The following is a 12,406-nucleotide window of genomic DNA, read 5'->3' as shown; positions in this document are numbered from 1 at the left end:
CTGTCTCAAAAAAAAAAAAAGTATGAAACATACTGAACTCTGTGAGTCATCAGGGAAATGCAAATTCAAATCACATCGTGATCCACTATACACGCACCAGAAGATGGAAAATACCAAGGGCTGGCTGGGCACGGTGGCTCACACCTGTAAATCCCAGCACTTTAGGAGGCCAAGGCAGGTGTGAGGCTGAGGCGGGTGGATCACTTGAGGTCAGGAGTTCGAGACCAGCCTGACCAACATCGTGAAACCCCATCTCTACTAAAAATACAAAATTAGCCAGGTGTGGTGGTGCACACCTATAATCCCAGCTACCTGGGAGGCTGAGTCAGGAGAATCGCTTGAGCCTGGGAGGCGGAGGTTGTAGTGAGCCATTGCACTCCAGCCTGGGCAACAAGAGCAAAACTCTGTCTCAAAAAAAAAAAAAAAAAGAAAAAGAAAAAGAAAAAGAAAAAGAAAATACCGAGGGTTGATGATAATATGAAGCATCTGGAACTCTTATCCACTGAGTGTGGGCATATAAATTGGTAGAAACACTTTCGAAAAATGGATAAGCAGTATTTACTTAAGCTTAACCCTCTGATCCAGCAGTTCCTATCCTAGGTATAGTGTATACCCAACACAAATATACATATGTGTTTAACAAGAGACATGTTTCAGAATGTTCACAGCAGCATTATTTGCAATAGCCCCAAATCAGAAACTACCAGAATGTCTACCAACAGTAGAATAAAGTTGCGCCACTGCACTCCAGCCTGGGTGACAGAGTGAGACTCTTGTCTCAAAAAAATAAAAAAATAAAAAAACAAGGCAAACTTATCTATGCTACTAGAAGTCAGGAGAATGCTTGGGGGTGGTTAATGAGTGGCAAAGGGCATGACGGGAACTTCTGTGGTGGTAGCAGTGTTCTATTTATTTTCTTTTTTTTTGAGATTGAATTTCACTATTGTTGCCCAGACTGGAGTGCAGTAGCATGATCTTGGCTCATTGCAACCTCTGCCTCCCAGTTCAAACGATTCTCCTGCCTCAGCCTCCCAAGTAGCTGGGATTACAGGCATGTGCCACCATGCCGAGCAAATTTTGTATTTTTAATAGAGACAGGGTTTCACCATGTTGGTCAGGCTGGCTGGTCTCAAACTCCTGACCTTGGGTGATCCACCCGCCTCAGCCTCCCAAAGTGCTGGGATTACAGATGTGAGCCACCGTGCCCGGCCAGTGTTCTATTTCTTCATCTGGATGCTGGTTACACAGATCTTTATACTTTGTGAAAATTCAGTGCCCACTTGTTCCTGGTCTGGACCATTATCAGTCCTTCCTTTATTTAGTTGTAGTTTTGCTATTGATTTTAATCACAGGATATGGAAATACCATGTTGTTCCCATTATCCCCCTGACAGTCAGGATCAGTCACCCAGAGAGTCTGATAATACTCTTCAGTGCCTATTGATTCACTGGTGAGAGAAGCCCAAGTAGCCAGCGACAGTCTTAACTGCCAGTTCAGTGAAACCACTGCTGTGTCTCATGTGGAAATAGTTCACTCTTGGGAACTCTAGTATCTCTAGATCAGCAGAGCACAAAGTTACCGAGATAGGAAGCAAAAATTTTGCTAGAGAAACACTATGTGTTATATTGAGGAGATCTGTTCTCATTTCTACCCTCTGACCCACAAATCCTGGTTTGGGATTTCTCCCAGCACCATATGTTGGTTGCCGGTTTAGAGCACATCTTGCATCTGAAGGACATTACCCATGCCCTGCAACATGTTACTATCCAGCTAGTGCCATAATTAAGTCTTCAAAAGGTCATCCTACTGTTCTTTCAAGCCAGCTGCTTCAGGGTAATGGTAAGACCAGTGAATACCATGAGCCTGAGCCCATTGCTGTTCTTTACTTGCTGTGAAATAATTCTTTTGTCAGAAGCAATGCTATATGGAATGCCAAAGCATTCTATAAGTTCAGAGATGTTGATTTTGGCAGAAGCATTGTGGGCAGAGAAAGCAAATCTATGTCACAGTAAATGGATATTCCAGTAAGAACAAAGTAATGCCCCTATGTGATTACCCTGGCACTAGGTGGCTAGTTGGTTTTCATATTGGGGGCTCAGTGTTGGTCTCTGCTGTTGGCAGGTTGGGCACTCAGCAATGGCTGTAGTCAGATTGGTTTTAGGGAATGGAAATCCATGTTACTAAGCCCCTGTCCAACCTCCATCCCTCTCGCCATGTTCACATTTTTCATGAGCCATTATGGTAACCACACCTACTTGTCACATCATCCCCATTGAATTTTGGGAGCCCAGCTTGATAGCATAAGTTCCCTCCGTCATTTCGGGCCTACAGAGAATAGCCACCATCGAGTTCTTCAAGGATATCAGGGCTTTCCTCTTGAATGCATTTCTCATAGGCTTGATGAAGGAAGTGTCTTCTAGAACTAACCTGGGCACATATTACAGGGGCAGGTAAATAGGTCTTCCATGGCAAGTCTACCCTAGCATTCTAGCCTTCCTTAGCCATTTGATACCTCTTCTACAGTGTGCCAACTTCATCTAGAAGTTGATATCAACCAACTGAACAAACTGTTAGACTCACTCAAGCTAGGACATTGAATCAGGAATCTCTGCTTAGTTGGCCCTTATAAATAGATTCAGCCTAATATGACTTTATATTTCTTCTGTCCTCATCTCACACCTTTGGGATCCATGTCCATACATTTCCCCAGGTTTCTGTATATGTAAATTGGCAACATCATGAAATTGTTTTGGTGTGTATCATACCACTGTCTCATGGGAAAGGCTTTGTACTTCATTCTCTGTAGCCTGTTTGAACTTGAGTCTACCAGCAATGAGAGGCAGTGGAGGTAAATCCAGAGGGCCACCACTTCAAGGAAGGCCATTACAAGACCTTCAGGCAAGGGGAGATTCACTTCTTTTTTTTGAGACAGGGTCTTGCTCTGTCACCCAGGCTGGAGTGAAGTGATGTGATCATATCTCATTGTAACCTTGAACTCCTGGGCTAAATGGATCCTCCTGCCTCATGCCCAGCTAATTTTTCTTTTTCTTTCCTGTTTTTTTTTTTTTTGGTTTTGTTATTTTTAGTTCTTTTTGAAACCAAAGAAACCATTGGCTAATTTTTTAAATTTTTTGTAGAGACAGAGTTGCACAGGCAGGTCTTGAGCTCATGGGCTTAAGCAATCCTCCTGCCTCAGCCTCCCAAAATGCTGGGATTACAGGCATGAGCCACTGCGCCTAGCTGAGATTCACTTTTTCAGATAAGAGTGGAAAGTTACTTCTACTGTGAAAAGAGATTCAGCAGAATTTAGGGGCTCAGATTTGTTGGAACCTGGCCATATATATCTTCATCGCAATTTTTACAGTCTCTCTTCTTCCCAATCAATGACACAATTTTTAGCAGAAGAGACCTGAGAGGTTGGGAACATAATTTACATCATAGGACAGCCACAAAACTTTCAGGTCCTTTCCATGGACCTTGAGATGGGAATTCAAAATCCCGACTCCTCATATTCTTTCCCTAAATTCTTCAGGGCACTTAGAAACAACTCACCAATGTCATCATAATTGTTATATTCAAGCAAACATTTGGTCAATCAAAGATTTGACTTCTATAGACACCTGATTACAGTGTCTGCAAGTGATCATTTAAATAACTTTTTTGGCTGAGTGCAGTGGCTCACACCTGTAATCCCAGCACTTTGGGAGGCCGAGGCGGGCAGATCACCTGAGGTCAGTTCGAGACCAGCCTGGCCAACATGGTGAAACCCCATCTCTACTAAAAATACAAAAATTAGCCGGTCGTGGGGCTGGGTGCCGGTATTCTCAGCTACTTGAGAGGCTAAGGCAGGAGAATCGCTTGAACCCAGGAGGCAAAGGTTGCACTGAGCCGAGATCTTGCCATTGCACTCCAGCCTAGGCAACAAGAGTGTCAGACTCTGTCTCAAAAATAAATAAATTAAAATTAAAATTAAAATTAAATAAATAAATAACTTTTTTTCCTATGGCATACCATGAAGAACCAGTGATCTCTTTACCCCTGACAACCTCTGGTAAGGGTTATTTATGCCTTTAAATCTATTTAGGTCACAGAATCAATTCTAGATGACCCAGACTGAACCCATCACCCACTAAGGTTCTGTTATTCTTGGAACCATGTCCAGTAGCAGATTCTCTATTAGTCATGATCCAATCGGAGAAGCAGGACCCCTAGGAGTGACAAAGAATAAAGGATTTTTTTTTTTGAGATGGGGATCTTGCTCTGTTGCCCAGGCACATCTTGAACTCCTGGACTCAATGATTCTCTTGCCTCAGCCTCCTGAGTAGCTGAGATTACAGGTGCACACCACTGTGCCTAACAGAATAAAGGATTTTTTTTTTTCATCATACTCAACCCCAAAGAATAAAGGATTTTATTATGGGAATTTGACCTTACACAACTGTGGGAACTGGTAATAGCTCTCTGTGAGGATGTTACTTCTTTGTCTGGGTCTGGGACTAAAGTCCACAGGCAGGCATTGGGGAAGGAAAGATGGATGTGAAGTGGGAAAATTAGGACAAACTGGAACCCAGGAAGAAGGGCAAGAATGAGCTAAAACCTGCCTCAGTCTCACACCACCTCCAAGCCTCTCATTTTGTTAATGCAGGTGACTTGCAAGGAAGTCTGGTGTCCTTCATTCTGAAACTAAGCACATACTCGGCTCAGGAGCTGGGAAAACAGAAGAGGGTCTGGTGGGAGCTGAAGGACCTACACGCCCAGCTGTGGCCTCCATCTGCAAAACGAGCCAGTAGATCTGCCATAATGCGTGTGAGCTGCCATAGCACCTGCTCTGCACTGCTAAACACGGCTGCTGCTTCACTTCTGTGTCCTAAGCATCATGCCCAAAACCATTCAGGGAAGGAAATTCCGGGAAATGTAGTTCCAGCTTAGCTAAGTTGACACAACAAATTTATAATAAGGTTTAACCGGCCAGGCGCGGTTATCCCAGCACTTTGGGAGGCCAAGGTGGGCAGATCACGAGGTCAGGAGTTCAAGACCAGTCTGGCCAATATGGTGAAACCCCGTCTCTACTAAAAATACAAAAATTAGCCGGGCATGGTGGCATGCATCTGTAGTCCCAGCTATTTGGGAGGCTGAGGCAGAAGAATTGCTTGAACCCAGGAGGTGGAGGTTGCAGTGAGCTGAGATCGGGCCACTCCACTCCAGCCTGGGCAACAGAGTGAGACTCTGTCTCAAAAAAAAAAAAAAAAAAGTTTAACCATGTATAACATAAAACATAAATACCTTGGTAAAAGTCTAAAGGCATTCTTAGGCATGATAAACATGACAATCAAAATAAAGATGAGCTCCGGGTAGGGAGAAGGGAGTAGGATTAGGGAGGGTCACTTGGGCTGTCAACTTTCTGTATTGTTTTATTTCTTAACACAAAACAACCATAGTAAAAATGTTTGATGAAACTGAGTAGTGGTGGGTATATGGATATTCTTTTTATTATTCTCTATACTTGTCTATAGGCTTGAAATGTTTCATATTTTTTTCCTACCCCTCTGTATTTAAAAAAAAATTTTTGGCCAGGCCCAGTGGCTCACGTCTATAATCCCAGCACTTTGGGAGGCCGAGGTAGGCAGATCACTTGAAGTCAGGAGTTCCAGACTAGCCTGGCCAACATGGTGAAACCCCGTCTCTACAAAAAATACAAAAATTAGCTAGGTGTGGTGGTGGGTGCCTAAAATCTCAGCTACTCAGGAGGCTGAGGCAGGAGAATCGCTTGAACTCAGGAGATGGAGGTTGCAATGAGCCAAGATTGCACCACTGCACTCCAGCCTGGGTGATAGAGTGAGACTCCATTTCTAAATAAATAAATAAATATTAAAAAAAAAAGTTTTTTTGTAGTGATGGGACATTGCCATGTTGCCCAGGCTGATCTCAAACTCCTGGCCTCAGGCAATCCTCTTGCCTCAGCCCAAAGGGCTGGGATTATAGTCTTGAGCCACCTAGCCCAGCTGCCCCCTGCCCCTTGCCCCCTTGCCCCCTTCCCACTGTGTTTTTTAAAAGACAAAATACAATTTGAGAAAATGTCACAAAAGAAGAGCCAGTTGATAGACAAATTTCCCTAGCATAAAAAAATTCTTAAAAGCTGGGCACAGTGGCTCATGCCTGTAGTACCAGCACTTTGAGAGGCCGAGGTGGGCAGATCACCTGAGGTCAGTTCAAGATCAGCAAGACCAACATGGCGAAACTCCATCTCTACTAAAAATATAAAAATTAGGCAGGCATTGTGGTGGGTGCCTGTAATCCCAGTTACTTGGAAGGCTGATACAGGAGAATTGCTTGAACCCAGGAGGCGGAGGTTGCAGTGAGCTGAGATTGCGCCACTGCACTCCAGCCCGGGGAACAAGAGTGAGACTCTATCTCAAAAAAAAAAAAAGTTCTTACAAGTCAATAAAGGCAGATAGCCCCAAAGAAAAATGAGCAACATAAGTCACAGAAGACATACAAATAGATATAACCACATTAAAAGATGCTCAATGTGTTTAAAAGATTATAAGCACATTAAGATGCTTAAATTTATATAAATATAATAAATGATATTTTTGACTATTTGAGTCCCAAGATTAAAAAGATTAATAATATCCAGTGTTGGTGAAAATGAAGGGAAATAGGCCCTCTCATATATTACAGGGAAGCATGTAAATTAGTTCAAATTTTTGGAGAAATTTTTAAAATTTAAAACCTTTTTCTTTTCTTTTCTTTTCCTTTCTTTCTTTCCTTCTTTCTTTCTTTCTTTCTTTCTTTCTTTCTTTCTTTCTTTCTTTCTTTCTTTCTTTTTGTTGTTGTTGTTGTTGTTGTTGGAGACAGGGTCTTGCCCTGACACCCAGGCTGGAGTGCAGTGGGTGATCTCAGCTCACTGCAACCTCCACCCTCTGGGCTGAAGCCATCCTCCTACCTCTGCCTCCTGAGTAGCTGGGACCACAGGCACGTGCCACTGTGCCCAGCTATTTTTTTATAGTTTTAGTAGAGATGGGGTCTTGCCATGTTGCCCAGGCTGTTCTCAAACTCCTGAGCTCAAGTGATTCGCCTGCCTTGGCCTCCCAAAGTGCTGGGATTTTTTTTTTTTTTAATAGAGATGGGGCCTCACTATGTTACCCAGCGTAGTCTTGAACTCCTGGGCTCAAGCGATTCGCCTGCCTCAGCCTCCCAAAGTGCTGGGATCACAGGAGTGAGCCGCTGAGCCCAGCCAGGAGAATAATTTGCAATAGCTACTAAAATGTCAAAAGATTCCTTTTCAAAGATTCCTGTATAAGGATGTACATTGTAGCACCTTTTATAGTAGCAAAAGCCTGGAGGCAACTTAAGCATTCCCTAGATCTCCAGTGCCTAGAAGCAATCCAGGATTTTCTGATGAAATTAATTTTGGCGCTCAACCTTGAACAATCAGTTTTCTTTTTCTCACTTAATTGTGGAAATTCCTCCAAGCTACCCAGTTTAGACCTAACTCATTCTTTTTAGTGTCTGCTTAATGTTCCACAGTATGGGTGTGCCACAATTTATTCAACCTTTCTTCTGTTGAAAGGCATTCAGGTTGTTTTCTGCTTCTGCCCTACAAACAGAACTGGTAAGAAACATTATTTTAAATATATATTGTGTACTGGCTCTTTTATTTCTATACAAAAAGATCCCTGAATAGTATTAATGGACAGAAACCTGTAAGAGTTTATATTTTTAAATTGTAATTGATATTACCTTATTGATTTCTAAGACACTGTAAAAATTCACATGGCCCTTGTGACCTGCTGTATCCTCAGGGCCTAGTCCATGCCAGGGACTCAGTTGGCCAAACTAAAATAAAAATATTTAAAAAGAACAAATAAATTTGTCCAGGAGCTCTCGAGCTGTCCTCCAGCCAAATTCTTCCCCACTTCCCAACCCTCTTTCCCCACTAAAGGATTTTCCTTCCTTTTTTTTGTCTAAACCCATTAATATGCAAGTGAGCTGGGTAGCAAGGAGGAGAAGGAGGGAAAAATGGTAATAATAATAATGGGTAATATTTACAGATCACTTAAGCTTTGCACTTGGGTTATCTCACTTAAGTAGAGAATGAGTTTCCTTCTCTGGATTGAGGGAAGAAGAACGTTTTGAGCACTGGTTGAGATCTCAGAGTCACTGGGGAAGATGTGTTAGGAAGCCCCTTTGCTGCCCTTTCCCAACACCCTGTGAATCCTTGTCCCTTTTCTCCTTTTTCACTCTCCTTTTGCAGGGTCTTCATCTCTCTTTCTTTCTTTCTCTCTCTCTCTTTTCCCTCCCCTCTCTTTGTCCTTCCCTCTATTCCTTCCTTTCTCTTTCTCTCTCTTTTCTTCTTCCTTGTCTTTCCAAAGGGAAGCTTTTTCATGCAGAAGAAAGGTGCTAAATGGTGATGATGGAGTTTGTTGGACCTGGATGGAGGGCTGCCATGCAACGTGCCCTAAGTCAAGCCCAGCTTGCAGGGTCAGAGGGCCCCAGAGCTGCCTTGGGGAGGCCCCATACCACCTCCCCCTACCCCCTGCCTGGGCTGTCTCAGCTCCAGCCCACACCTGCTCTCCCCTCCCCTGCCCCTCCTGCTTCCCCTGCACCTGACAGGCCAAGAGCAAACAAGGTTGGTTGTTTGTTCCTCCCTCCCTGGAATGCACAGCTAACACATTGCACTTTGCAGTTACCTAGTGTTTCCTAACTTTTTCTTATGTATGCTGCCTTTAAGATTTTCTCTGAAATTCTATGCCCTTCAATTAGACTGAAGTCGACAAACATTTACTTGTTTGAGGCCTATTCTGTGTTGGGTTTTATGAGGGGTACAAAGTGCAATGAAATATACAATTCCTGCCCAATGGGAGCTCAGAGTCTTACGGTGAGGGTGGAGGGAGGGGACAGAGAGACTCATCCACAACTAGCTAATGCAACTGCCAAACCAAAGGGATGGATTCTATGGGAGTACAAAGGATGGAGAGATTAGTAATAACTTCATAGGCCAGGTGCAGTGATTTATGCCTGTAATCCCCACACTTTGGGAGGCCGAGGCAGGCAGATCACCTGAGGTCTGGAGTTCAAGACCAGCCTGGCCAACATAGTGAAACCCTGTCTCTACTAAAAATACAAAATTAGCCAGGCATGGTGGTGCATGCCTGTAATCCCAGCCACTCAGGAGGCTGAGGCAGGAGAATTGCTTGAACCCAGGAGGCGGAGGTTGCAGTGAGCCGAGATCGTGCCATTGCACTCCAGCCTGGGCCACAGGTGAGACTCCGTCTCAAAAATAAATAAATAAATAAATAAATAAATAAATAGATAAAGTAATAACTTCATAGGTCCAGGAGGGCTCTGTGGAGGACACTTTCCTCTGCAGAGGCATCTGAAGAGAGGGAAGTCTATCAAGGGATGAGAGTGGGTGAGATCACACGGAGAGAAAATGCTGTAGTAAAAGAGAAAGGGGCTTGTATGGATCCCTTGGGGACTGCTATGTTTAGGGACAGCAAGGACAGAAGAAGAAGGATTAGTCAGAGAGGAAGGTTGACAGCCAGGGCAAATAACCCTTGTGCAGTGAGATAAGTATGTTTTCTATTCACTTGGAGCACTTTATACAGCTGGTTGGGACTTTAGCAGCAAACTAGTCAAAGCCCTTTCTTTCTTTCCTTCCTTCCTTCCTTCTTTCTTTCGTTCTTTTTTTTCCTTCCTTCCTTCCTTCCTTCCTTCCTTCCTTCCTTCCTTCCTTCCCTCCCTCCTGCTCTCCTTCTCTCTTTCTCTCTTTCTTTCTCAGAGTCTCGCTCTGTTACCAGGCTGGAGTGCAGTGGTGCAATCTGGGCTCACTGCAACCTCTGCCTCCCGGGTTCAAGCGATACTCCTGCCTCAGCCTCCCGAGTAGCTGGGACTACAGGTGCGTGCCACCACACCTGGCTCTTTTTTTGTATTTTTAGTAGAGACAGGGTTTCACCATGTTGGCCAGCATGGTCTCGAACTTCAGACCTCATGATCCGCCTGCCTTGGCCTCCCAAAGTGCTGGGATTACAGGCGTGAGCCACCATGCCCGGCCTTTTTTTTTGTTTTTTGTTTTTTTTTTTGAGATGGAGTCTCACTCCATCACCCAGGCTGGAGTGCAGTGGCACGACCTTGGCTCACTGCAACCTCTGCCTCCCAGGTTCAAACAACTCTCCTGCCTTGGCCTCCCAAGTAGCTGGGACTACAGGCACCCACCATCAGACCTGGCTAATTTTTGCTTTTTTAGTAGAGACGGGATTTCACCATGTTGGCCAAGCTGGCCTCAAACTACTAACCTCAGGTAATCCACTCACCTCAGCCTCCCAAAGTGCTGGGATTACAGGTGTGAGCCACCGCCCCAGCCCTGGCTCATTTTTTATGTTTTTTTTTTTTGTTTTTTTGCAGAGATGGGCTTTTGCTATGTTGCTCAGGCTGGTCACGAATTCCTGGCCTCAAGCAATCTTCTTACCTAGCCTCCCAAAGTGTTGGGATTTTTGATATGAGCCACTGTGTGCCTGCCCTGACAGCCCTTTCTTGTACTGAAAAGGGAAGACATTGAAGACCCACTAAGTGTGGAGTGACTTGCCCAAGAGAAAACTCAGTTCAGGACTGTGAACTTCCAGCTCACTCTGCACACCCCTGTGACAACCCAAGACCCACTTCAGTGCCGTATTCATCTTTTTATCCGCTAGTCACACCTTCCACGGTGCTTAGCACATATTGGTTGAGTTGAATTCTCTCTCTCCCCTATCATTCTAGTTTCTGAAAAAAGGGAAAAGAAAGAGGGATGGTCCTCCAGTGAACCCCTGTTATAGCATAAGCACATTGCAAGGGGCACACCTGTGCATTCTTTTTGATTCCCACAATCATACTGTTATCCCCATTTTACAGATGAGGAAACTGGATCTTGGGCAGTAATGTGATTTCTTTTACAACTAGTGACCTGCCAGAATTCAAACCCATTAGGTTGGTGCACAAGTGATTGCAGTTTTTGCTATTGAAACTAATGGTAAAAACCACAATTACTTTTTTTTTTTGAGACTGAGTCTCTGTCACTCAGGCTTGAGTGCAGTGGCCCAGTCTCAGCTCACTGCAACCTCTGCCTCTTGAGTTCAAGCAATTTTCCTGCCTCAGCCTCTTGAGTAGCTGGGATTATAGACGCGTGCCACCACACCTGGCTTTTTTGTATTTCTAGTAGAGACAGGGTTTCACCATGTTTGCCAGGGTGGTCTCGAACTCCTGACCTCAGGTGATCCGCCTGCTTTGGCCTCCCAAAGTCCTGGGATTACAGAAAGGAGCCACCACGTCCGGTCTAACCACAGTTACTTTTGCACCAACCTAATAGTTCTGTTGACTCAAATCATACGATGAGAGTGTTTATTTAATGGTTGAAATGGAATTGAATTGATTTTTCTTCTGTGCTCATAGCCCTTAGAGAGGAGGGAGGATTTTTTTTCTTTTGTGGGTAAGCAGGAGATGGAGTTATAGAAGGAGAGTGAGTGAGTGAGAGAGAGAGACAGAATCCTTTTAAGGGCCCTTTTTTTTTCTTTCTGTCTTTCTTTCTTTTTGAAACAGAATCTTGCTTTGTCGCCCAGGCTGGAGTACAATGGCACCATCCTGGCTTGCTGTAACCTCCACGTCGCAGGTTCAAGCGATTCTCCTGCCTCAGCCTCCTGAGTAGCTGGGATTACAGGTGCCGCCACCAAGCCCAGCTAATTTTTGTATTTTTAGTAGGGGCAGAGTTTCGCCATGTTGGCCAGGCTGGTCTTGAACCTGGGACCTCAAATGATCTGCTCTCCTCAGCCTACCAAAGTGCTGGGATTACAGCACTGCACCCAGTGGGGGCCAATTAATTTTAACTACTCATAACTGACCAAACTTCCAATACCCATAGGAGAGGCAAACAAAGGTATGAGTTCTTCTTTAAAAATCACCACCTATCTTACACCTTAGCTCCTTTTTCAGCATTTTCACCATTTGAACCTGATCTGAGGGGCATTGTTGAAATGGACAGACACAAAGAGAGTTGGGTTGTGTTGTGTGTGTGACCTCTCCAAGTGCCATAAATAGATGGAGTCAGAGAGGGGAGAGGATGCAAGAACCACCTAGAAATAAGTTTCTGTGCTCAGGAAAAACAGGCGGTGGTGGTTGTGGTGGTGGTGGTGGTGGTGGTGTGTGTGTGTCTGTGTCTTGCAGGTAGATAGTGTTGGGCAGGGGAAGAGGACAATCTTGCCATAAGCTCAGCTCAGACCTTCCCTCCTCCCCTGGTGAGCTTTTTAGAGCTCTTCCACAAGTGGGTTTCTAAAGTTGTCACTGAGCCTTTGCCACTCACTACTAAGGCTAGAGAGGTTGAGTCCAGGAGGAGGGCAGGTTGGGAGAAAATAGGTGGCGGAGGGCACTGGAA

At 44.5% G+C, this 12,406-nt stretch overlaps 1 annotated feature.

Moving 5' to 3' along the window:
* Nucleotides 5,587–5,756: a silencer, noted in NCBI's record as "fragment chr2:73421928-73422097 (GRCh37/hg19 assembly coordinates)". NCBI's record gives its function as "represses an EF-1alpha promoter that drives an FKBP-Casp9 reporter gene in an ReSE screen in K562 erythroleukemia cells {active_cell/tissue: K562}" and the evidence as "EXISTENCE:reporter gene assay evidence [ECO:0000049][PMID:32094911]".

Source organism: Homo sapiens, chromosome 2 (assembly GCF_000001405.40).
Source record: "Homo sapiens chromosome 2, GRCh38.p14 Primary Assembly".
NCBI classification, from domain to species: domain Eukaryota; kingdom Metazoa; phylum Chordata; class Mammalia; order Primates; family Hominidae; genus Homo; species Homo sapiens.
Note: the sequence above shows the minus strand (reverse complement) of the source record. Positions and strands in the feature narration are given on the sequence as shown.